This window comes from Homo sapiens, chromosome 12 (assembly GCF_000001405.40).
Source record: "Homo sapiens chromosome 12, GRCh38.p14 Primary Assembly".
NCBI lineage: Eukaryota > Metazoa > Chordata > Mammalia > Primates > Hominidae > Homo > Homo sapiens.
The window spans coordinates 24,884,547-24,911,071 of record NC_000012.12 but is presented as its reverse complement, the minus strand read 5'-3'; the positions used below and the strand labels follow the sequence as shown (position 1 = coordinate 24,911,071).

At 41.6% G+C, this 26,525-nt stretch overlaps 2 protein-coding genes across 40 annotated transcripts in view, besides 2 other annotated features; one reads left to right on the top strand and one right to left on the bottom strand.

The window, feature by feature from the left end:
• BCAT1 (branched chain amino acid transaminase 1) overlaps positions 1–26,525 on the top strand; it is a 139,317-nt gene that overhangs the window by 38,269 nt on the left and 74,523 nt on the right. For 10 of the 39 annotated variants that reach the window (NR_182105.1, NR_182109.1, NM_001413100.1 and 7 more), the window contains exons 1-3: positions 8,005–8,125; positions 9,187–9,258; positions 16,597–16,797. Coding sequence is in view for 31 of the 39 variants with exons in the window: in NM_001413100.1 (NP_001400029.1) it covers positions 8,084–8,125; positions 9,187–9,258; positions 16,597–16,797 (315 nt within the window). In the remaining 8 variants the exon portion in view is untranslated. Of the gene's footprint in view, positions 1–8,004; positions 8,126–8,171; positions 9,110–9,186; positions 9,259–16,596; positions 16,798–26,525 lie in introns of those variants that run through there. The other 29 variants (NR_182108.1, NR_182107.1, XR_007063109.1 and 26 more) reach the window with 10 other exon arrangements.
• On the bottom strand, positions 3,167–9,102 carry LOC124902898 (uncharacterized). The gene has a single exon (XM_047429951.1). The coding sequence runs from the start codon at positions 8,480–8,482 to the stop codon at positions 7,742–7,744; it is 741 nt and encodes a 246-aa protein (XP_047285907.1). The 5' UTR covers positions 8,483–9,102; the 3' UTR covers positions 3,167–7,741.
• Positions 5,825–6,547: an enhancer, noted in NCBI's record as "NANOG-H3K4me1 hESC enhancer chr12:25057459-25058181 (GRCh37/hg19 assembly coordinates)". NCBI's record gives its function as "activates a minimal SCP1, AML or CMV promoter by ChIP-STARR-seq in naive H9 embryonic stem cells {active_cell/tissue: H9 hESC(naive)}" and the evidence as "EXISTENCE:reporter gene assay evidence [ECO:0000049][PMID:30033119]".
• Positions 8,042–8,543: an enhancer, noted in NCBI's record as "H3K27ac hESC enhancer chr12:25055463-25055964 (GRCh37/hg19 assembly coordinates)". NCBI's record gives its function as "activates a minimal SCP1, AML or CMV promoter by ChIP-STARR-seq in primed H9 embryonic stem cells {active_cell/tissue: H9 hESC(primed)}" and the evidence as "EXISTENCE:reporter gene assay evidence [ECO:0000049][PMID:30033119]".

The window sequence follows — 26,525 nt, the reverse complement described above, 5'->3', positions numbered from 1 at the left end:
GAGTCAGTAGTGCGATCTTGGCTCACTGCAACCTCCACCTCCCAGGTTCACACAATTCTCATGTCTCAGCCTCCTGAGTAGCTGGGTTTACAGGCACTCGCCACCATGCCCAGCTAATTTTTGTATTTTTAGTAAAGACAGGGTTTTACCATGTTGGCCAGGCTGGTCTCAAACTCCTGACCTCAGGTGATCGGCCGCCTTGGCCTCCCAAAGTGCTGGGATTACAGGCGTGTGCCACTGTGCCTGGCCCCAGTTCTTATTATAAGTTCTCCATTAACCATATCATGAGATTAAAAAAACAACAATGATTTCATCGGAACTGACAAATAGTGGGTGACACAATTTTGATCATCAAGAAGACTTTAAAAGAAGGATTTGTATCACTGTCATTACTGATTACTTGGCCCTTGTGTATACTGGGCCTTTAGCTAGGGCTGGTACAATAAAATAACCATAGTTAGAAAGATATTTTAAAGGATTACTTATTTCATGTTTATCTCACCCTTTTATCCCTATTTTTGGGCATGATTTATTATTATTAGGTTTTTAAATAAATAATGAAATAAGCATGTTAGGTTTGCATGCTGCTTTGGTTAACATTGCTATATAACCAACCACCCCAAACTTTGTGGCCTTAAAACAATAATTTATTTATTTATTTATTTATTTATTTATTTATTTATTTATTTATTTTTGAGACAGAGTCTCGCTATGTCACCCAGGCTGGAGTGCAGCGGCATGATCTCGGCTCACTGCAACCTCCACCTCCTGGGTTCAAGTGATCCTCCTGCCTCAGCCTCCCGTAGAGCTGGGATTACAGGCACCCGCCATCAAGCCCAGCTAATTTTTCCTTTATTTTTAGTAGAGACGGGGTTTCACCATGTTGGCCAGGTTGGTCTCGAACTCCTGATCTCAGGTGATATGCCTGCTTTGGCCTCCCAAAGTGCTGGGATTACAGGTGTGAGCCACTGTGCATGGCCAACAATAATTTATTTTTATCTCTCATGGTCTCTAGATTGCCTGGGCCCGGCTGAGCAGTCTGAGTCAGCCTTATGGTCTCTCATGTGTTTTTAATCAGTCATGAGGGGCCGGCATCATCTGAAGGCTTGACTGGGCTGGATGTTTAAGACAGCCACTCACAGGGCTGACAGTGATGCTGGATGTTGCACTGTTGACTAATGAGCCTGCACGTGGCTCCTCCATGTGATTTGGGCTATTTATAGCTGGGGTGACTGGGTTCTAGGTGGGGTAGTTCCAAGATCCTTCCAAGAGGAAGAAAGCAGAAACTGCCTGGCCAGTTAGTGTATATGCTTAGTCTTAGAACAGTGTCACTTCCATATTTCTCCATAGTCCATTAATCAAAGCAGTTACAGGAAGCAGACAGACAGGAAGGGAAAACACAATGCAACAGAAGGAGAGATTGAAGTGTTGGCAGCTGCAAGCCAAGAAACACCTGGGTTACCAGAAGCTAGAAGAAGAAAGGTAGGATTCTCCCCTACAGGTTCCAAAGGAAGCTGGGCCTGTCCACACCTCACCTCTGGAACTATGAGACAATCACTTTCTGTGGGTTTAAGCTACCCAGTTTGTGGCACTTTGTTACTACCGTCCTAGGCAAATGATACAGTAACTACATACACAGTACATAGAATTGCTCATTTTACTTCGTTGAATGGGACTTGGCATTGAATAAGCCCAAATGAGAATTCTTTTGTCAAGATTTTTTTATGGCTCACTTTTCCAGAGACGTGACATGGCAGGAGTAAGGGGAGGGTTTGGCAGGTAGGAATTATACTCATCTGTCATTGTCTTCCCAATACCAACCAGGAAGCATGTAAATAATAGCTGTGCAGTTTGTTTTCTGAACCAAACTGGGCCTTATTTTTTTTAAAGAAACTTTATTAAACAAACAAAAACCTAGAAACACTAGATGTATATTTTTAAGGTTTCTCTCACATAATATCCTAATCATCAGTATACCGTAATCCAAGGGCTACATATAACTGAAAAATAAATGGGTCTTAAAAAAATTAAAACATGGTATATAACACTAGCTAACATGTACTGAGCAGTTACTAAGTGCTAAGTACTGCTAAGTCCTTTATAGATATCTTCATGTTGAGTGTCGTCACTGCCCATTACTTACTCTGAGTTTAAATATGAGACTCAAAAGAGGTTAGTAATTTGCCAAAAGTCATAGGGCTTATAAGTGATAGAACCAGGATAACGAATCTCAACCAAGGGACTTCAATGCCCAAACCGGTGCTCAGACTGTAGCCCCATGTAGTTAGCTATTTACATTTGAAAAAATTTTTAATGTTTATTATTTTTTTTAAGACAGGGTCTTGCTCTGTCACCTAGGCTGGAGTGGAGTGGTGTGATCTTGGCTCACTGCAACCTCCACCTCCTGGGCTCAAGTGATCCTCTCATCTCAGCCTCCCAAGTAGCTGGGACCACAGGTGTATGGCACCACGCCCAACTAATTTGTTGTGTTCTTGGTAGAGGTGAGTTTCACCATGTTGCCCAGGCTGGTCTTGAACTCCTGAGCTCAAGTGACCTGCCCACTTGCCTCACCCTCCTAAAGTGGGGGGATTACAGGTGTGAGCCACCATGCCCGGCCCAGCTATTTACATTTAAATATAAATTAAAATGAAACAAGATTAAAAATTCGGTTTCTCAATCACACTAACCACACTTGAAGTGCTCAGTAGCTACATGTGGCTTAGTGGCTACCTGGCAGATATAGAACGTTTCCATCAGCACAGAAAGTTCTACTGGAAAGCATTGATCCAATCTCTTTGAACAGTCACAATGCATATAAAGTCCTTATTATGACTGTACAAGGGAAGACAACGAGTAGAGGAAGGCAGAAAATAGGAAAAAAGGAAGAAGAAAGATTTAGGGTGAGGGAGAGCAGTTCTATGAAGAAAAGAAGCTCATATCTAGGAGTGGAGTGGACCCTGAGAACATGTTAGTCTATTATATTCTAAACTTTGGCAGTTAAAATTCCAAAGTATATTAAGTACATGCTTTCTAAAATATTAGAGAGCTGCAGTTCAACAGATTTTTAACTCTCCACAGCATGTCCGGCACTGGGTGAGGTGGGATGGCTAGGTGAATAATATAGGCATTGTCATGTGTGTTCGTGTGAAGAGACCACCAAACAGGCTTTGTGTGAGCAATAAAGCTTTTTAATCACCTGGGTACAGGCGGGCCGAGTCTGAAAAGAGAGTCAGCAAAGGGTGGTGGGATTATAATTAGTTCTTAGAGGTTTGGGATAGGCGGTGGAGTAGGAACAATTTTTTGTGGGCAGGGGATGGATCTTACAAAGTACATTCTCAAGGGCGAGGAGAATATTACAAAGTACCTTAAGGGCAGGGAAGGATATTACAAAGTACCTTCTCAAGGGTGGGGAGGGTGTATCATACAAAGTGCATTCACAAGGGTGGGGAAATATCACAAAGTACATTATCGCAAGGGCAGGGAGGGTGTATTGTCACAAAGTCAATTGATCGGTTAGGGTGGGGCAGGAACAAATCACAACAGTGGAATGTCATCAGTTAAGGCAGGAACCTGCTATTTTCACTTTTGTTGATCTTCAGTTGCTTCAGGCCATCTGGATGTATACGTGCAGGTCACAGGGGATATGATGGATTAGCTTGGGCTCAGAGGCCTGACAGACATGAACTTCCCATCATAAAATTAGAAGAGCATTAATCAAATGATTAGAATAAAATATTACCATTATTTTGAAATGGCAAGCATTGTATGTAAATAAACAGCAGAGGAACCCACTGTAGCCTAGACAGGGTTCAGAGACGTTCCTGCCAAGGACATGGCACAGGGACTGAACAAGGAAGGATGACAGTGCCTGGCAAAGGCAGGGAATGTTACAGGTATTTGGGCACCTGTGAGAAGGCCTGATGTCCGAAAGGACTGAAATAAATTAAATGTGTGGGGGGAGAGAGAAAGAAAGAGCCTAGCAAAAGGTGAGCTGGAGAGTCAGAGGCAGAAGGCAGAATCTGGGATGGGCTGGGAGCTTGCCAATCATTTTGTCAAATGGGTGATGTGAAGCCTTGAAGGTTTTTTGACCAAGAGGAGATGTCTTCAGATTTGCGTTTGAGACATTTTCACTGGTTGTCATGCTAAGAATGGCTTAAAGAGAAGCAAGGCTGGGGTCAGAGGAGCTGCTTGGAAGCTGTTTGGTACTAGGATGCGGATAACATGGTTGGAGAAATGGCAACTGTCAGGGTATTTGGAGCAAGAATGGATAGACATTGGTGATCATCACTTGGATGCATTTGAGGGACAACTGCTATGTTTCTACTAGAGCAACTACATAGAGCAGGAGTAAGCAACTTACAGTCCACAGACCACATTTGCTCTGTCCCGTTTTTCAAATACAGTTTAATGGAAACAGAGCCATGCCCGTTCTTTCACCTATTCTGCATGGCTGACATCAGGCATGGTTCTAAGTAATATACATAAGTTTCATATATTAATGCTCATCTATCCCAGTTGACAAACATGAAGTGTTGCTATTGTCTCATTTTACAGCGGAGAAAACTGACATAGAGATTCTCTTTCGCACCCATAGCTTCAGTTACCACCTCTATGCCAATGATTCAATAATACCTCTAATCCAGACCTCTTCTCTGAGCTTCAGACAGGCAGATCTCTCACAGCCAGTCTTGGAGACACTTCAGAAATCATAGGTCCCAAACCAGACTCCTCCTCATCCCCTCAAACACATTCTTTTTCAACATTCCTTTTTTCTTAGTGAACATCACCAAATAGATAAGCAAGTCAGATCCAAGGAGGCCTCCTTGGCACTTCTCTCATCCTTGTCCCACCTTATATCATCTATTTTTCTTTTTCTTTTTTTTTGAGATGGTGTCTCACTGTGTCACCCAGGCAAGTGCAGTGGTGTGATCCTGGCCCACTGCAGCCTCAACCTCACCAAGTTCAGGTAATCCTCTCACCTTAATCCCGTGAGTAGCTGGGACTACAGGCACATGCCACCGAGCCCGGCTAATTTTTGTATTTTTACCAGAGACAGGGTTTTGCCATGTTGCCCAGGCTGCCACCTTATCTCCATTCTTGCTGAAATCTGGCTGTTTCTCTCCACTTCTATTACCAACCACCAGCCAAATCTGACTTATTAAAAGGATCATCTCGTATGTGGGTTCTGTAATAGCTTCTTCAAAATCCATTCCTCTCCACCCAGACCCTCTTCCAATCTCCAAACTGCAGCCAATACCTTCAATTCTGTCACCGCTCCTGCATACTCCACCTAATCCTTAACCTTTCAATGGTTTCTCTTGCCCCTAGGTTAAGCTAAATTGAAAACTGCTAAAGCTACAGCTTCTTAGTGTAACTAGTAAGTACAGTGACTACTATGTCTGGTTTACTTCAGCTGTTGCTGACTAATAGCACTTCTTGAATGAAGAAATTATATTACCGTACTGTAGGGAAAAATTTGTACTTCAATGGAAAACTGAATTATTTAGAGCAAACCTTTAAGGTTATCTGATTCTGATTCCATGGGCCCTTTCATTGGGTCTTACATTGTTTCATTGTTTTTGAGTTATTTTACAGATGACTGATAGAAATGCAAAATAATTATTGCATGCAGTCATGCAAGTAAAATCTGAAGGTCAGGGTTCAATTAACTTCTCTCCCCTACTGTGGAAGAAGCCAATTTCATTTGCATATTCATTTCAATATTTCTGACCTATAAACATGCCTGTTCTTTGAACCAGTTTTTATATCTGCCTGGTAACTTCATTAAATGATTTAAATAAACTCTATAATTTAGTTTATTTTATACCTGTATGACAGTCAGGCTTTTACCTTATTTTTGCTTTTTAAAATTATTCTTTAGCTCTCCCTAAGGCACTACTTGGCTGGCCCTTTGGCTACTCACTAGCCCAAGCTCCATCCTCTTCTGTCTACCGCAGCCCCAGGCTCTCTTTTGGCCCTTTGTTCCAGCCCTCCTCAGAGAAGTTCTTTTGTCCTGGAACTCACTTTCATACCAGGTGCTCTTCATCCCTTCTTCCTTTAGTAAATTTCTTTAATCTTTCAGATTTCTGCTCAAGGATCACTTGCTGAAAGCCTTTCCAGGCCTTTCTGAGTCAATACAATCCATTATTAGAGGCTCTTAGAGCACAGGCAGCACTTGTTATAATTTTACATCTGTCTGTGGGATTCCTTAACACTTTCTAACACAATTAACACTTTTCTCTCTGGCTGGGGGCAATGCATGATAACAGGATGATGGTATGCTCTCAACCCTCCCCCAGCAACTAGCCCAGTGCTTCGAACATGGTGGATAGATACACCGTTTTTATTTTAGACAGATTTTTGAGTAGCAAGTACCTACTGCTCAGGAGACAGATGGACTGAAAAAATATATTTGGGAGTCATCAGCACATAGGTGCAGCCATGAAAATGCACGAGAAGCAAAACCATTGGCAGGAACAAAATGAAGGCTATTAGAGACCTTATTTAGGTGGAATAATTGGACAGAAGCCCTTAATGGGGAGGAAATAGAAGCAGTTAATACAGATGGAGGCCGGGCGCCGTGGCTCACGCCTGTAATCCTAGCACTTTGGGAGGCTGAGATAGGTGGGTGGCTTGAGTCCAGGAGTTTGAGAGCAGCCTGGGCAACATAGCAAAACCCGGTCTCTACAAAAAATACAAAAATTAGCCCGGCGTGGTGGCGCAGGCCTGTAGTCCCGGCTACTGGGGAGGCTGAGATGGGAGAATTGCTTGAACCGGGGAGGCGGATGTTGCAATTAGACGAGATCGCGCCACTGCACTCCAGCCTGGGCGACAGAGCGAGACTCCGTCTCAAAACAACAAGGACAAAACTTATCTTATAAGCGACCCTGGACTTCCAGGGACACTCGCCGCTCTATGGTGGTACGTGACCTGCCTGGACTCTGTGGTCTTTGGAGCTTGGGACCCCACCCCAGCGTAAGAGGCCTTTCTGTGCCTTGTATAAAGGAGAGGAAAAGTGTAGGTTTTCTGAGTTGATAAGATTAGAGCTACAGTATATTATCAGTAGCGTTGTATGAAACCATTTAAAAAACCAAACCGGATTTAACCGCTTTCACCCAGAATAAACTGCCCTCCCCCTCTTTCCAAGATCAAGTCAGCCCCAGTTACCACTTCCTATTAATTTAAAAACCAGGAAGGCTCATAATTTAGGCTGACGTTGCCCCAGGCGAACACTGCATATAAGACAATAGCTATTCCAATCCTCCTTTCCCTTTCTAAACCGAATAGTACTTCTAACATCACTTTTCCAGTCCTCTTTCTAAATATTGCGATCACGAGCCTACATCGGAAAACTATGAAAACAGTATGATTGGAGCTCTTGATGGTCTGCTTTGCCTGAAAACGATGAAAGGCATTGAGATCTTTGGGCAGAAATGGCCCTTAGGGAATGCGAGCCTGGTAGCCCCATAACACCCCGAGTTACAAATTCGGTTTGGGTAGGTGGCGCAGGGAAATCTAAAAGCTGGATTCACGTTCTCCCCCTTCAGTTTGCACATAGCGGTCAGTGGCAGACAAGAGCAGACGCACAAATGTCAATCCCCGCCCGCAAACTCTCGAGGGCAGAAACTGCTTTTTGTCAGTTGGATTTGGAGTCGGTGGAAAAGCTGCCCTAATGTAGTTTCTCCGAGGTTTCCTTAGCCTTGACCGAGGGGCGCTTCCCGGCCATTCACCTAGAGGTTGTTTAATAAACAAGGATGCTCGCGAAATATCTGCGCTTGGAAAGGCGCTCGTTCGTGGCGCGCATTCTCGGGCCTCCGCAAGCGACCCCGGTGACAGGGACAACCGCTTCGGTTTTAGCGACTGCAGACAGACTGGGACGAGACGGTTGGAGGCTCCTCCCCAAGGGATGCTGGAGGGGTTGCGTCGTACCCTGCGCCTGGCCCTGGCGCGCGGCCCCAGGTCGTGGTACCCAGCGCCCTATGGGCCGTGCGCCGGGGCTTGGCCACACCGCCTGCTTTCGCTTCCAGCCGCGCGCTCCGTGCCACTGCCGCTCTCTGCAGCCCCGCGTCCCCGCAGCCTCCCCATGGCCAGCCCGCTTCGCTCCGCTGCGGCCCTTGCCCGCCAGGTACCTCGAACCCGGGCGTTTGCGGAAGGGGGGAGGATTGGAACCCGGGTCTCGGTAGCTCGCGGGCCTGGCCGGGCGCCTTGTCGCCGTTTCCTGCACCATCCTCCTTCGCCTTGCCCTCCATTCCGCCTCCAGCGAGGCGTCTTCCCTTCCCCGCATCCCTGCCCGAAATCTGGAGTCCCAGCCTGCAATCTCCACCTCTTCGAGGTTCCCGCTGCCCAGGTCTAGCACCCTCATGGGTAACCCGCTCCGGAGCGTGGCGAGGACCGCCACGGGGGACGTGAGGGTAGCTATGGACTCGCTCTGAGGGAGGAGGCGGGAGCTGAATCTCTGGGCTGCCAGAACCCACAGCCACATCCTACGTGACTCTGCCACCCCAAAATATTTTGACCGCAGCCTTCTGCCTCCTTGGATCTCTTCCTTCCCCACCCCCACCCCCGTAGTTATTTAGCAGATTACGCATTAAAACAAATGTCTGCAGGTTTTCCCAATTAGTCCCGCTTCCCTGTGTCTTTATCTTTTAAATTGCCCACTAATACCATGAGGTTTAAGGTGTGGGGTGGATGCTGCGGCATCGGAGGACCCTGCTGGTGGAGGAAATGGTTCACGCCCGTCCCCGTTCCCTTTGCAGGCTTGCTATTGTGCGTCTGTGATTGACAAGACCACGAGGCTGAGCGCGCCCTGGAGATTTTTCTATAAATGGCTTAACACCCCAGTCTAGACTATTTGCTCGGATATAAGGGAGACAATTGTTTTTTTGTTCTTTGCCGGCGAACCCTGGCTCTGTAGGGCTGACCTGGAATTTAACCAGTCTTCCCTGAGCCGGCGGAGGAGGACAAAAACCGCCGCGACCCCGGCAGGGTGGGAAGTGCAGGGCAGCGCTCCCAAGACACGCTTGTTGGAGGTTCGGGCCTGGGTGCTTGGTTGTCTGAGCCTCCTTTTTTGTGTTTGCCTGGGTCCTGGAGAGGAGCGCACGGTATCATGGTGAGCGTCACGTAGGTTACCCCGGGTCCCGCTTACCCACCTGCATTTACTTAATGGTGGTTTAATTCTTCTTTAAGGATTGCAGTAACGGATGCTCCGCAGAGTGTACCGGAGAAGGAGGATCAAAAGAGGTGGTGGGGACTTTTAAGGTAAGTTGCTTGCCAGAGGCTTAGTGTCTAAAGCAACGTTCAACTGAATAAATCCATTTCTTGTTGAGATTCGGGGAAATTTTCACTGTGTGGGTTACCCAGTTCCTAGGTTGTGTTGCCAGACTTTTAAAATTCCACTCTTAGAGGAAAAAAAGCCATTTAGAGAGTGACAGTACATTCATCACAACAAAAATTATCTAGCAGCTAATTGCTGATTTTATTTTGAGTCATATATTTTTCTTGAAAAATAGTCAATGCGTAAATATTAAACTAGTTGTTTATCAGATTCCATAATACGTACAAACCTTCAGTCTACTTGTAGAAAAAGTTAAACTGTGATTTTTCTCTTTCAGTAGCACATAACACTCTACAGTGAAAGTGTTGCATTTTCTTCTTTTCTATCTGAATTGCGGGGTTTATATAGTAAATAGCTCATACTTCAAACAGTGAGAAACAAAGCACGTTGAAAACTGTACAAATACAAATGTAAGATGTAATATTATTTTTTCTATAAGTCTATCTCCTACCCTCCCTCCTCGTGGAGGTTTTAGCTTCTTCTTTTTATGCCTAGTGCTGCTCTTCTGCCTGTTTGAGTCACTGTCAATTGTCATCAGACAATTGACACAGAGTGTCCTAATGATCTCACATCCTGGCGGTTCAGAGAGGGAAGGAAACTTGACTCATCAGTTTCTCACACATTGAGCTCTCTCACAGTGTGCTGGAGACTGTGCCATGCATTGGACATCCAAAGGTGAATTCAAGATTAGGTCTCTACTTGCAAGGAATTTTTATTTTATTTTTCTTTTTCCTTCTCTTGCTGTCATCTTAGCAAGGATTTTTTAAAAAGCAAAATTAGAATATTGCAATTTCTTTTCTGTTTTTTGAGACAGGGTCTCGCTCTGTCACCCAGGCTGGAGTGCAGTGGCACGATCTCAGCTCACTGCAATCTCTGCCTCCCAGGTTCAAGTGATTCTCCTGCCTCAGCCTCCTGAGTAGCTGAGATTACAGGCATGTGCCATCACGCCCAGCTAATTTTGTATTTTTAGTAGAGATGGGGTTATCACCATGTTAGCCAGGCTGGTCTCGAACTCCTGGCCTCATGCAATCCACCTCCCAAAGTGCTGGGATTGCAGGCGTGAGCCACCAAGCCTAGCCTGAAGAATTCTTTGCAAAGAAAAATATCAACTCAAATTTAAATAATCTTTTCCTTTCTTTTTCTTTTTTTTGAGACAGAGTCTTGTTCTGTTGCCCAGACTGAAGTGCAGTGGCACCATCAATTAGGTATCACTTTCAGCCTTGATCTCTCAGACTCAAGTGATCCTCTTAGCCTCTCAAGTACCTGAGACTATCGGCTTGCATGCCATCAGGCCCAACTAATTTCGTCATTTTTTGTAGAGATGGGATCTCCCTGTGTTGCCCAGACTGATCTCCAACTCCTGGGCTTGTGCAACCCTCCCACCTCGGCCTCCCAAAATGCTGGGTCACAGGCATAAGCCACAATGCCTGGCCATAAATAATCTTTTTTATTTGTTAATTTAGATTTCTGTATATTAGGTTTTATTTAGGGGAATTGCCTGTTTACACTCATGTATTTACACATCAAAACATGAGTTATGGTGGATGTATTCACAGCACATATGTAATAAGGCATGTGTAAAAATGATATTGATAATTTAGGGAATAAAAATGGTAGATTTTATAGACCATCTTTGTTTTTGATATACTTTTCTCTGTCTCAAAAAACAAAAACAAAAACAAACAAACAAACAAAATATATATATATAGCCTACATTGTTGTTAACTATAATCACCCTACTCTGCTATGAACAGTAGACTTTATCGCTTCTATCTAACTGTATGTTTGTACTCATTAACCAACCTCTCTTCCTCCACCTACACCCTTCCCACCCCCTGCCATCTTCTGATATCTATCATTCTATGAGTACTCTCTTCCTCCATGAGATCAACTTTTTTTTTTAGCTCTCACGTATGAGTGAGAACATGCAATATTTGTTTTTCTGGGTTTTTTTTTTTTTCTGTGTTTGGCTTATTTCGCTTACCATAATGACTTCCAGTTCCATCCATGTTGCTACAAATGACACGATTTTACTCTTTTTTAATGGCTGAGTAGTATTCCATTGTGTATATGCACCACATTTTATTTGTTCATTGATGGACACTTAGGTGATTCCATGTCTTGACTATTGTGAATAGTGCTGTAATAAACATGGGACTGCAGATATCCCTTTGATATACTGATTTCCTTTCCTTTGGAAAATACCCAGTAGTAGGATTGTTGGTTTATATGGTCATTCTACTTTTAGTTTTTTTTTTGGAAAGCTTCATACCATTTTCCACAGTAGATAAACTAATTTACATTCTTACCAACAGTGTATAAGCGTTCTCTTTTCTCTGTATCCTCATCAGCATCTGTTATTTTTTGTCTTTCTAATAATAACCATTCTAACTGTGGTTGCTTTTGACATATTTCTCTACCTTTTTGTTAATCTACATCATTTATAACATTTCATATGGCCTTTTGGGTCTCTCTTGGGTAGTTTTCGTATTTCTTCTCCCCTCCCCATTTATGATGCAGTCATATTACATGAGGATGCAGTTTTGCAGCAGGGCCTAGCAATGAGATACGTTGTTACACATCCTGGCGAATCTTTCTGTGGACTCTAGGATCCTCTTCATTTGCAAGAGGTCAGCCATCTATTTCTTCCAATTCCTCCAGCTTCACATATCTCCACAGAATGCAACACTGCAAATCTGCAGTTCTCTTCATGATCCTCTTTATTAGATTTTAAAAGAGTATCTCCAAAAGATGAACATAGTGCCTAAGGCTTTCCAAATGGAGTAAGAATAATGCACAAGAACCTAGAATAAAGTTATTAAATGTCTGATACAGTTGTAATACAGACTTGATTTTTGAAAAATGTGGCCAATGAAGAGAAGAGCAAATGTGCTATACGATGGTGAGCAAAAGGTGTTGACAGGCCTGGCATGGTGACTCACCCCTGTAATCCCAGCACTTTGGGAGGCTGAGGTGGGTGGATCATTTGAGGTCAGGAGTTTGAGACTAGCCTGGCCAACATGGTGAAACCCTGTTTGTATTAAAAATACAAAAATTAGCCAGGTGCGATGACACATGCCTGTAATCCCAGCTACCTGGGAGGCTGAGGCTTGAGACTTGCTTGAACCGGGGAGGCGGAGGTTGCAGCGAGCCGAGATTGTGCCACTGCACTCCAGCCTGGGCAACAGAGCAAAAAAAAAAAAAAAAAAAAAAAAAAGTGTTGACTGAACCCTGGCTGAAACAGTTTTCAGGTGCTTTCAACAAATTTACACTTCCCTGCCCTGAGCCTCCCTATTTCAGAACAAATGATTACCCAACTGCAAACTTTGAATTAGGAAGTTGTTTTTAATATGCCCTGTTTTTCTCAATATTTCTTGCCATTTCACAATCAGTTATTGTGGCATTCCAATTCTTCCACAAACATATGATGTGAAACATCCTGACTTCGATGTCATCAGGGAATGTGGAGCATTGGAAAGAGACAGATTAATTATGCAGAAGAAAGTATCATTTGACAAAATATTATTTTTATTTATCTTTGGAAAGGAAATCTAGAAAAAGAAAATACTTTTTAAAGAACACTGATAAAAATTGTTTATAAAATTTGTTTCCTTTAGGAAACAAATCGTTCCCTTAAAACTACATTTCATATCTGCCCCAAACGAGTCACATGTCTTCAGCTAATATTGCTTGTTTACGTTTGAACTTTATTCAATTCTATCACCTAGTAATTTAGTATTCTTAGGTAATTTCTCTTTGAGCTCAGGTTAAAAGTTGTTATTTTTAGTTTTCAGAGTTGCAGAATTTTTTTTTCAAGTAGAGAAAAGTTCATGATGAGATTCTGAAGCCACCTAATCGTATATTACTTTGAAAAACTGGATATATGCCGGGCGCGGTAGCTCACACCTGTAATCCCAGCACTTTCAGAGGCCGAGGTGGGTGGGTCACCTGAGGTCAGGAGTTCGAGACCAGCCTGGTCAACATGGTGAAACCCCATCTCTACCAAAAATACAAAACTTAGCCGGGTGTTGTGGCACATGCCTGTAGTCCCAGCTACTCAGGAGGCTGAAGCAGGAGAATCACTTGAACCTGGGAGGCGGAGGTTGCAGTGAGCCCAGATCACATCACTGCTCTTCCGCCTGGGTGACAGAGTGAGACTCCATCTAAAAGAAAAAGCAAAACAAAACAAAACTGGATACAGGGCAGTGCTTAGGTACAAATCAGAAAGTTAGAGGTTGCTATTCATATCATTAAGAAATAATGTGTCTTACGAAAGAATGTAGCAGTTTACTGAAATAGAAGTCATACCTAGAAATGTAATAATTTATCTTTAATTGTCAGAAATTTAACTGATATTATGAAGTTCTAATTATAAGAACACTTATTTGAGGTTAAAAATTACCTTATTCTATCCCTGCTTTGCCGCTAATTTGATCTCTCTGGATTAGTGGGTTATTGTGGGTCCTATGGGTATTTTAAGGAGAGGTCTCAGAAAACTAAAAATTATATATACTGGATCATAATCATTCTTGTCACCCACTCTCATCTTTCTGTTTTTGTTTTGTGTTTTACTACCCTTCCCCTTTTACTAAGTAGTCTTAGTAGAAGAAAATTTGCATTAAGTTTGTCGTACTGTATTGATATGGCTCCAAATGTTTCTTAGCCCAGGGTCCTCCCCATTCACTGATAAAAGCTAACTAAGGTAAATCACAGGTGTTTATTGTGCAAGAATACTGTGAAACTATTCATGTAATAAAAAGTTTGTGTTAGAATTTCACTCTCTTTAAATCCTGGACATCTTCTGTGAGTGTATCTGAAAGCAGCCAGACATCTTCAGTATTTAAGAAACCCTTTACTATTCTGTGTGCTAGGCACTGTGTTAGCTTTGGAATTCAACTGTGAATACTCTAGCCAGACTTCTTGTCTAAATAGTCCAGAATAGGGGTTGCTAAACTTTCTTTCTTTTTTTTTGAGATGGAGTTCCACTCTTATTGCCCAGGCTGGAGTGCACTGGTGTGTCTCTGCTGACTGCAACCTCTGCCTCCCAGGTTCAAGCAGTTCTCCTGCCTCAGCCTCCCAAGTAGCTGGGATTACAGGCGCCCACCACTACACTCAGTTAATTTTTGTATTTTTAGTAGAGACAGGGTTGTGCTGTTTGCCAGGTTGATCTCAAACTCCTGACCTTTGGTGATCCACCCGCCTCGGCCTCCCAAAGTGTTGGGATTCAGGGTGTGCCACTGTGCCCGGCCTGCTAAACTTTCTTAAATGGCTAGATGATAAATATTTTAGGCTTGAGGGCCATCAGGTTTCTGTTACAACTAGTTGGCTGTGCTGCCACTGAAGATACAAGAATGGCGTGACTATGTTCCAATAACATTTTAATTTCAAAACAGGCCAGCTGGCTGCATTTGGTCTGCAAGTAAAGTCTGCCTGACCCCCTACCTAGTCCAGAGGACAACGGGAGAGAAAAGGGATTCAAAGATAAAAATAATTTAGCTGGAATATATTTCTTTAAATAAACTTATTATACTTAGTAAAAAGTCTTAAATTAACGTTTTTACTTGAATTAAATAGTGGTAAAACAGGCTGGGCACAGTGGCTCATGCCTGTAATCTTAGAACTTTGGGAGGTCGAGGCAGGCAGATTGCTTAAGCCCAGGAGTTCGAGACCAGCCTGGGCAACATAGTGAGTCCCTATCTCTAAAAAAAATACAAAATAATAATAATAATGGTAGAACAAAGTCAATTTTTTATTGAAACTTGGCATTTTATTGGCATATTACAAAGTAGCATTACTAGACTAGCCTGAACATTACAGTAATATTCTGTCCTTAATGCCTTTTGTGTCACTGTAATATGAGCTTTCTGTTTGTTTTGGAATATGTTTTCAGCCTGAATATTATTCTAAAAATACAATTTACTATCATTCATAATATATCAAATGACTCACGTAGCTGCAAGGCAGTGAATTAAACAGAATTAGATCATTTTAAAAATAATGATAAGAGCTGATGATGTAAAGTGAAGGTCTGTATTTAATTTGGGAGGGAAAAGACTTTTTTTGTATATTCAAAGAGATGGAGTTTGACATCCCTTCACAACCTGTTACAGGTTGAACTTGCCCCTGTTTTTTTAACTGATCAAAAAGTTCCTTCTCTTGTGTTTCTTTTTTTCTTCTCTTTTCTCTTCTTTTCTTTTCTTTTTTTTTTTTCTGAGACAGAGTCTTGCTCTGTCTCCCAGGCTGGAGTGCAGTGGTGCGATCTTGACTCTCTGCAACCTCCGCCTCCCGGGTTCAAGTGATTTTCCTGCCTCAGCCTCCTGAGTAGCTGCGACTACAGGTGCATGCCACCACGCCTGGCTAATTTTTAGTATTTTTAGTAGAGACGGGGTTTCACCATGTTAGCTAGGATGGTCTCAATCTCCAAACCTTGTGATCTGCATGCCTCGGCTTCCCAAAGTGCTGGTCTCCTGTGTTTTTGTCAGCATTCCACAGATGCTATAAAGTTAGTGGTGGTATCGCATGCAATTTGTACGCTTAATGTTTGGCCATTTGCAGTGGGCAAACTGGCTATGTCGGGAGCTGGTGAGATGCTGCTTGTGGGGAGTTGTTTCCTATTACTCTGATTTATCTTTGTTTAAATAAGAGTTCCTTTGTTCACTGTTTCCTCCACACAGAACAGAGGATTTATATCTTAGTGTTCATTCTCAACTTTCCTGTTTTCAAAGAGGAAAACATTTGCTTCACTTTGCTCATTTCTTCTCCAGTGCACCCAGAGGATTTTGAAGGCTTATGCCAACAATTCTTTGGGGCAGTTGGAGTGTAACCATTGCTAAATAGCAGTTCAGTACTTAATGACATTCATTTTAGTTTAACAAATCATTGTGAGTGTTGCCATTTTTTATTAGGGAAAACATCTCTTTCATCTTTCCCAAATACTCAACATGAGTCCTATGGTGAGAGTGAAAAAGGGTTGTATTCTTTTTTTGCATCATCTTACCCCATCTGCTATTTTGTCCCTCTTCTATATATCACTGAAATTTGGTTCTGATATTCTATTAGGCAGTGTACATTGCAGAGATTATGAATAACTGGCCGAATTCTGAATGCAGGCATGATTTGTTCAGCTCAGAGTGTTAAATTTCTGTGTTAGCTGCTAACCTTTAAAAGTCAATTGATTTCCTTTTTTTTTTTCCCCTCTGTATAATCTAGCCAGCGAATGCTCAGTAGCTTTTCTGTAAATAGTGATGATTTTTCTTCCCCAGGCTAAAGACCTAATAGTCACACCAGCTACCATTTTAAAGGAAAAACCAGACCCCAATAATCTGGTTTTTGGAACTGTGTTCACGGATCATATGCTGACGGTGGAGTGGTCCTCAGAGTTTGGATGGGAGAAACCTCATATCAAGCCTCTTCAGAACCTGTCATTGCACCCTGGCTCATCAGCTTTGCACTATGCAGTGGAAGTAAGTACATGGGAATTAAAGAGAGTGACATGCTTGCACTTCACTGTGGGTACTAAGTAGCTTCTCCTGCTAAAATAGCTCTTGGGCAGTATGGGCTTTATCATATTTACCAGAGGAAGCCGAAAATGTCTTTAAAAGTTTTCCTATAGACAGTTGGATTGAAGATAAATCTTAGCAGCTAATTTTTCAGATAATCTTGCATTTTCTGTGACGTCAATAAAAAAATTATTTAAAGCAAATAGAAAGGACAGCTGGTGGGAAAATTGGCAATTAAAAAGCCAGCACTGTTGATAATTTAATAAGTCACCTTTCTTCTTAGATCTTCTAATAATTGAGAAAGGGTCATTGAGAACAATATTATGATTTGATTTTAATGCTAACTCCACATTTTTATGACCAGTAATAATGTCTAGTTATGCATGTTAAGGGACATGTAATTAAATGTCCTCCTTCAGCCATGAGTTGAAATAATTTTAAGCATAAAATGTTTAAAGAATTCTTTCTCTGGTCCTTTTCAGGGTGCACAATTAACCAGATGCACAGTATACTTCCCATTGTCTTGATTCTCATTGTATTTTACTTTTGAATGATTTGGACATCTTTCCCAGAATAATAGGGGTGCTGGAAATAATAATAGTCTTCCTATTAAGTGCTAAAATATGGTAATAGTAAAATATTAATAGATTAATGATAAAATAACAACTTTTGTTTACTGAATTCCTGCAATACGTTCTGTATTATGTTCCATATATGAATCATCTCATTTAATTACCTTAAGTGAGAAGGCATGTGATTAAGCATTCAGGCTTTGAAGTCAGACATCCTGGGCTCAAATTCGGTCTCATTTGCTCCATAGGAACCTTTATGACTTGAGGAATTTAATCATTTGTGCTTTAATTTCTTTATCTATAAAATTGGGGTAGTTATAATATCTATCTTACAGTGATCTCATAAGTATAAAATAAAGTAATTTATCTAAGCATATAGAGTCATATCTGGTGCATAGCGAGAGCCCAGTTGTTAGCAATAATAATTAACTCTTGAAGCAGTGGTCTCATCCATTATAAAAGGAGGCTCAGAAGAGTTGTTTCTTGACTAATATTACACAGCAGTAAGGGTGGAGCTAAGGTTCCAATGAGAAGCTTCTTTCTGTTATATAGCCCCTACATGTATACACCAAAATTACTAGGATGCTTTTGCAATTAACTCCTTCAAAATTATAAATTCATATAATTTTGGAAAGATATTCACTGTCCATATGTATCCACAAAATGTTGAATTTAGGAATCTAAGTTTCTGTTCCCAGCTCTTCCTGTTATGTCAATTTGAATGAGTTCTTTCATTATTTGCCACAAGCCCTCACCATGTCATAAGGTATAATAAAGAACAGGTGAAATGAAGTGCTTTTATTTATTTATTTTTCAGACAGATTCTTGCTCTGTCACCCAGGCTGGAGTGCAGTGGCACGATCGTGGCTCACTGCAGCCTCAAACTCCTGGGCTCAAGCAAACCTCGTACCTCAGCCTCCTGAGTAGCTGGGACCACAGACACATGTCACCATGTCTGGCTAATTTTTACATATTTTGTTGAGACTGGGTTTTGCCATGTTGCCCAGGCTGGTCTCAAACTCCTGGGCTCAAGCAATCCTCTTGCCTTGGCTTCTTCAAGTGCTGGGATGACAGCCATGAGCCACTGCTCCTGGCTATGTGCTTTTAAATTTGAAAGGAATAATATGCCCAAGCCCAGGTCACTGGTTCTCAAACTTAATGTGCATCAGAATCAGCTGGCTACATCTCCAGAGTTTCTCATTTCTAACAAGTGTCCAGATCATGTTAATTTTGTCGCTCCAGGGACCACATTTTGGGAATTGCTGGCCTATGGGAAGTAAATGAGAAATGATTTAATGTCATTTTTGGAAGTTAAAAAAGATTTTGGTGGTCACTGGTTTTTGAAAACTCTTTGAAGGCTGGGTGGGGTGGTTCACATCTGTAATTTCAGCAGTTTCGGGGAGATGGGGTTCTTGGGAAATGAGCCCTCCACCCATGGGATCTGATGCTATTTCCACGTAGATAATGTCAGAGTCGTTCAAACCAGAGTGACTCCATCCTGAATAGGGGCTGGGTAAAATAAGGCTGAGACCTACTGGGCTGCAACATGATGAGACCCTGACTCTATTGAAACAAAACAAAACAAAACAAAACAAAACAAAACAAAAAACGGCCAGGCGAGGTGGCTCACGCCTGTAATACCAGCACTTTGGGAGGCCAAGGCGGGCGGATCACGAGGTCAGGAGATCGAGACCATCCTGGCTAACATGGTGAAACCCCATCTCTACTAAAAATAGAAAAAAAAAAAAAAATTAGCCGGGCGTGGTGGCAGGCGCCTGTAGTCCAAGCTACTTAGGAGGCTGAGGCAGGAAAATGACGTGAACCCAGGAGGCGGAGTTTGCAGTGAGCCGAGATCACGCCGCTGCACTCCACACTGGGTGACAGAGCAAGACTCCATCTCAAAAAAAAAAAACAAAAACCTCTTTGGCCATCTATTTAGATGAGTTGGAATGCTACTTTGATTGGTTTTGCCAATTTAGATTTTTGTAATTAGGGTAGTTTAAAAAAACTCTCAAATTACTGTTATCCTTTGTTAAAAACCAAAATCTTTTATTATTAGTCTTCTGCTTACAATATAAGTAAAATAAATGTTTTGTATTAATAACTGGATTGTATATTGCATGGTTACCACTATGTAACAAAATTAATAGCTTAAAATTACAAGCGTCATTTTAAAATTATTTTTCATGTTTCTGGGGTTGACTAGGATGGCTAAGTGGTTTTTGCTTGGGGTCCGTCACACGGTTGCTGTCAGTGGCTGGGGTTAGAGTCAGCTCACAGGCTTCCTAACTCATATGGTGCTGGAGGGAGTGTCTCTTAGCATGCTAATGCTTCATAATTTGTGTATAATGAACAGTGAGGATGACCAGAGGTCACTTTCATTGCCATCTGGGCTGCAAAACTCAAGGAGTTGAAGGCTCTTCCGGCATTACTTGTTCTCCATGTGGTCTCCTCAGGATGGCAGTCACAGAGTAGGCAGCCTTCTTATGTGCTGACCTAGGGCCCAAAATCTGTATGTGTCAGTTGACTGAGCCCAGATGGAAGCTCTATTGCTGTTTACGCCCTAGCCTCAAAACTACTCTTTCAAGAAAAATTCTCCAACCGAGTTTTTCCTCTACTCTCACACCACCACAACAATAGTCAACATAGGAGACTTCTATGATCAAAGGTGTAGGGATTTCTCCCCACCACCAAGCAGTGAACCCCAGCTGGGTGTCCTCCAATTCAATTCTCACACTGTTATTACGGGAAAGGTGTCCCAATCCAGTCCCCAAGAGGTTCTTGGATGTTGCACAAGAAAGAATTTGGGGAGAGTCCACAAAGTAAAATAAAATTTATTAAGAAAGTAAAGGAAAAAAAGAATGGCTACTCCGTAGACAGAGGAGCTCCGAGGGCTGCTGGTTGGCTATTTTAATGGTTATTTCTTGATCATTTGCTAAAGAAGGGGTAGATTATTCATAAATTTTCCAGAAAAGGGATGGGCAATTCCTGGAACTGAGGGTTCCTCCCCTTTTTAGACCTTGTAGGTTAACTTCCCACCATTGCCATGGCCTCTGTAAATTGTCGTGACACTGGTAGGAGTGTCTGTTAGCATGCTAATGCATTATAATTAGCTTATAATGAGCAGCGAGGACGGCCAGACATCCCTTTCATTGCCATATGGGATTTGGCAGGTTTTGGCTGGCTTCTTTACCACATCTTGTTTTATCAGTGGGGTCTTTGTAACCTGTATGTTGTGCCGACCTCCTATCTCATCCTGTGACCTAGAATACTAACCTCCTGAGAATGCAGCCCAGTAGGTTTCAGCCTTATTTTACCCAGCCCCTAATCAGGATGGAGTCGCTCTGGTCCAAACACCTCTGACATTATCCACCTGGAAATAGTGTCAGATCCCATGGGTTAAGGGCTCATTCCCCAAGACCCTAACCACCCTCACCTGGCCCAGACACAAGTCACAAGTCCTGTCCTCTGGAATGTCTGACTGAGAGGCATCAAGTTGGAGTTCCCATGACCCCCTCTTCTGGTTTGATTAATTTACTGGAGCAGCTCACAAAACTCAGGGAAACACTTAGGTTTAGTGGTTTATTATAAAGGATACTGCAAAGTGTATAGATGAAGCGATGTGTAGGGTGAGGTATCGGGGGATAGAGTGCAGGGCTTCCATGCCCTCCCGGGGTGTGCCACCCTTTAGGAACCTTCATGTGTTCTGCTATCCGGAAGCTCACTGAACTCATTCTTTTGGGTTTTTATGGAAGCTTCACGTCAATATTCCTTCCCCTGGGGTATGAGGCAGGACCTTCACCGGAGAGGGTCTTTTATTTTATTTCATTATTTTTAAAATATAAGATGGGGTCTTGCTATGTAGCCTAGGGTGGTATTGAATTCCTGGGCCCAAGTAAGCCTCCCGCCTCTGCCTCCGAAAGTGCTGGGACTACAGGCATGAGCCACCCAGCCCCTTTGGAGAGGATCTTAAGACTCACAGTTAGAAAGGAGGGCAGGAGAAGGTCAGAGAGATTCTGCTTCCTGCCCCTGAGGCCTAACACACCCAGCATTATAACAAAAGACTGTAACAAGGGCTATGGGAGTTACCAGCCAGGAACTGTAAATCACACAGTATTATTTCTGCCTTACTCTTATCAGTCATGATGGTTACAAAGGCCTGTCCAAGTTCAAAAGGAGGAAAAAAGCACTCCACTTCTTGATGAGGAAGGTCAGGGTTCTGGAAGAGCATGGGGGACTGGAAATATTGTTCGGCCATTTCATGGAAAATACAGTCTGTAATAGACATCAGTGATAAATGGGGAGATATGGTGGATGTATTGTTTTCCTCTGAGTGCCAAATTGGGTTCTAAGATTTCACAGGCCAGATATTATTGAAGTGGCTACGTTGTCTGGGGTATATACCTTGGGGTTCGTCATTTTGTGCCAGGAAAATTTAGGACAAGGACTCACACGAGGAGTTTAGGAGTGGAGGTTTAATAGGCAGAAGAGAAACAGAAACAGTTCTTTCTGTAGGGAGAGAGGGATCTTCGAGGGAAAAGACCATCCAGCAGCAGATGAGCTGGATTTTATAGTCAGGTTTGAGGAGGAAGTGTCTGATTTACTTAGGGCTAACAGGTTGGTTTGATCAGGTATGACGTTTACATAGCACACCGGGAAGTCTGGTTGCCCCACCCTAATCCTTTTATGCAAATGGACTTTCCTAGTTGATTGGAGCTATCTTGTCTGCTCCTTACTGTACAGGTGGCTGACAAAGAGAAGGGAAGATGGAGCCGCCATCTTGAACATGATTGACGCAGCTGTGGATATCTATGTCTGCAGCTTGATTTTACAGGCTGCTCTTCTTTAGAAAGGGGCTGCTTTTCATTAAAACAAAAACCTTACTGAGGACTCTTGTACCCTCACTATCTGCAGGTGATTTCTTAACTCCTGTATCATTATTATAGTGTCATAGGAATCTAGGAAGTGTGATTGCCTTCTGGAGAGAACTTCAGGGTCCCTGGATTTTCTCACTAATCATATTCATTTCATTCCCTGTTTACCTGTTTAATAAATGTTGAGTGGCTACTATGTGCCCAGGGCTGTGCAAGGTGCCTGGAATAGGATGGCAAGCAAACCAACCATGACCTTGCTCTCAAAGAATTGTTTTCTTTCTTTCTTTTTTTTCTGAGACAAGGTCTTGCTCTGTCGCCCAGGCTGGAGTGCAGTGGCCTGATCTCAGCTCACTGCAACTTCCACCTCCTGGCTTCAACAGATTCTCCTCCCTCAGCCTCCCAGGTAGCTGGGATTATAGGTGCCCACCACCATGCCCGGCTAATTTTTGTATTTTTAGTAGAGACAGGGTTTCATCATGTTGGCCAGGCTAGTCTCAAACTCCTGACCTCAAGTGATCCGCCTGCCTCAGTGCCGAGATTACAGGCATGAGCCACTGCACCTGGCCTGTTTTCTGTCTTTTTTTTTTAACCCCCACATGGAAAGTTAGGCAGGGATTTAATTTCAAAGAGTTTCTTCCCAAATATTGTGGTGAAACATCTAGTCCATTTATGTTTCAGGCTTTTTCATAGATATTACTGTTTCTCTTAGACTGACAGACTTAGGACATCACATGATTGAATGTCAACCTGACTTTTAAGTTCAATAATAGTTTCATTTTTTAAATGCAAAATTAAATAGGAGTAATATCCTTGAACATGTTTCTCCTTCACTCATCGGACCTATTGAGTCTAGAATCCATTTTATTTTGAGAGCTCCAACTACATGTGGTTTCTGTTAATATCTGAAAGTAATTTTTAATATCTGAAAGTTTCAAATAGTGATAATATTTGAAGGTTTCAAATAGTGGAGGAGAGACGCAAACTGCGAGTAGGGAACGCGGATTGAAGGAAATGAAAAGTTGATAATAGGCACTTCATTTTCAGATTATAACAAATATTTAGTGAAATAAAGCATAATTTTAAAAAATGGATAAGACATGTATGTACTATTTAATGTGTACTAATAAATGAATGCTCATATTTGCCATCCAGATAAAGAAATAGAACAGTTGAACATCACAGAAGCCCTCGCGTGTCCCATTCAGATCACAAACTCTATCTTTCTACTGGTAACCATTATTCTTACTTTTGTGATAACCTTTCTTTGCTTTCCTTTATGGAGTGTGTAGATTCTTAACACTATAGTTTTGCCTCTTTTTGAACTTCATGTAAATGAAAAAATGTATATATTTTGTGTTTGTGTGCATGTGTGTGTGTGTGCTTGCACACGTGTGAATACCCCTTATTGTTTGAGCTTAGTATTATGTAAGATCTAACCAGGAAGGACCAACCTAACATTTGTGGGGCCTGGGACCTAAGTATAGACAGAGATGACATGGTCCACTCCATATCTGTTCCCATCCCAGTTCTGCCCTGTGCTACAAGGGGTCTTCCAGACACTGCATAGGTACCCATACCACCTGCAGGCAGATGACCTTTGCCTGTCCTTTGGAGTTAGGCCTGGGTACCCTACTAGTGGTGTCTGCTCTTGGGATGATAAACCCGAGGGGCTTATCAGCTTTATATATATATATATATATATATATATATATTTTTTTTTTTTTTTTTTTTAGCTAGCATCTCTCTCGTTCTTCCAGGCTGGAGAGCAGTGGTGTGATCTTGGCTCACTGTAATCTCCACCTCCTGGGTTCAAGCGATTCTCCTGCCTCAGCCTCCCAAGTAGCTGAGATTACAGGCACGTGCCACTATGCCTGGCTAATTTTTGTATTTTTAGTAGAGACTGGGTTTCACCATGTTGGCATGTGAGCCACTATGCCCGGCCTCTTTTTTTTTTTTTTTTAAGAGACAGGGTCTTACTATGTTGCCCAGGCTGGTGTTGAACTCCTGGCCTCAATAGATCCTCTGTCCTTGGTCTCCCAAAGTGCTGGCTCAGTCATTATGTTCTTTACTGCCATCCATTGCAGTATAAAAAGAATAACAGTTTTCCCTCAGAATATTCTTGGTGAAACAGTAACAATTATTAATTTTATTAAATCTTGGCTCTTGAGCAAATGTCATTTTAATATTCTGTGTGATAAAATAGCAATGTCACATAAAGTGCTTTTACATACTTAAGTACTATGGTTGTCTGAAGAAAAAGGAGTTGTGTGATTGTCTTGAGTTTGTAAGTGGAACTACTTTTTTCATCGAGCACCGTTTTTACTTGAAATAACAAAGTATGAATATGAATGCAGATTTGGCCATTTGGCAGATTTTTATTTATTTATTTGAGACAAGGTCTTGCTGTGTCACCCAGACTGGGGTGCAGCTCACTGCAGCCTTTACCTCCTGGGCTCAAGTGATCCTCCTGCCTCAGCCTCCTTAGTTGCTGGGACCACAGGTGTGCAGCACCATGCTCAGCTAATTTTTAAATTTTTTGTGGAGACAAGGTCTGACCATGTTGCCCAGGCTGGTCTCGAACTCCTGGGCTCCAGCAATCCTCTCGCTTCAGCTTCTCAAAGTGCTGGAATTACAGGCGTGAGCCACGGTTCCCAGCTCGCCTTTTCATATGTTTATTGGGTTGCTAAATATGTTCTTATTTGAAGTGCCCACTTGTTCAAGTTTTTTGTTCACTTTTTTATTGCTGTCTTTATAATTTTTTGATGACAAGAAATATGTTTAAATTAAAGGCAGTTTTGTCAATCTGCCTTATGTTTGGAATTTGTTGTGTCTTTAAAGACTCTTTTCCTGCCCTTATATTATAAAGATATCTTATAGTATTGATATTGTCATTCACAGTTAGGTCTTTAATCCTAGAAGTTGATTTTTGTATGAAGTAAGGGCCCAATTTATTTTTTTCCACCTATGTATACCCAGTTTTCCCAGCACCATTTAAACGGGCGGTACTTTCCCCTCTGATATGTCATGATGACACCTTTGTCATGTACACATGAGTTTGCTTCTGGATCTCTATTTGTGTTCAGTTGTTTTACTTGTCTGCATAAATGCCACAGTCTTGGTTTCTCAGTCATTATAATGAGCCTTGCCTGCTAGGAAGGGTCCTTCTACTTTGTTCTCCAAGAGTGCCTTGGATATTCTTGGTCATTTTCTTTCCATATAATTTTTAGATTTGGTTTATCAAGTCGATAAACTTTTGTCATGCAGTTTTTTAAAAGAAAATAAAGTGCCCTAATGTGATTTTTTTTAATTTGGATTACATTGAATACATAAATCAGTTTGGGGAAAATCAACATCTTTATAATATTGAGGCTTTTTATCCATGAGCATGAAATTGCTTTCTACATTAATAACTTGGTAAAGTTTTATATTTTCCTTATGGATCTTTCACTTCTTTTGTTAGATTTTTCTCCACCTAAGTACTGTATCTTTTAATTCTACTGTAAATAGTGTTTTTATTTTTTAACTGCTGCTATTACATAGGAATATAATTTTGCATCTGGCCAGCTTGCCTAAACAGATGATTTCAAAATATTATCTGTCAGATTTTCTGTGTTCTCTATCTCTGTAATCATATCATCTATGTTTTATGATCTATGACAGTTATATTTTTTCATCTCCAAGCTGATATTTTAAATTTCATTATTCTTGCTTTATACTGGTTGTACATATTCAGTTAGAGTGATTGCAGTAGGCAATTTGCGATGTTCCCAATTTGATAAGGAAAGCTTTTACATTTTACCATTAAGTATAACGTTTGCGAGCTTATTATAGCTATCCTTTGTCACTTAGGGAAGTTATCTTTGTTTTTTAGTTATCTAGGAAACTAAAAAATCAGAAAAGTTAGTTTGATTTTATCAGATACATCTGCTACATCTAATGAGATGATCATATAGTTTTTTTCCTCCCATAAACTGTGAATATAATGAATCACATTAATTGATTTTTTTAAATGTTAAACCAATCTCCATTTCTGGGATAAATTCAACTTAGTCATGTTGTATTAGCCTTTTGTATATCTTATATCTATAATACTGAATGAGATTATCATACTCTTTACATGTATTTGAAGCCATGTCATTAAGTGCATACAATTTTTATTAAATTTTTAATTGACAAATAATTGTATTTATTTATGGGGTACGATGTAGTGTTTTGATATATGTTTACATTGTAGAGTGACTAAATC

Excerpts from the sequence above, each read along its gene's own strand:
- LOC124902898 (XM_047429951.1), bottom strand. The coding sequence starts at position 8,482 with ATGTGGCTGTGGGTTCTGGCAGCCCAGAGATTCAGCTCCCGCCTCCTC.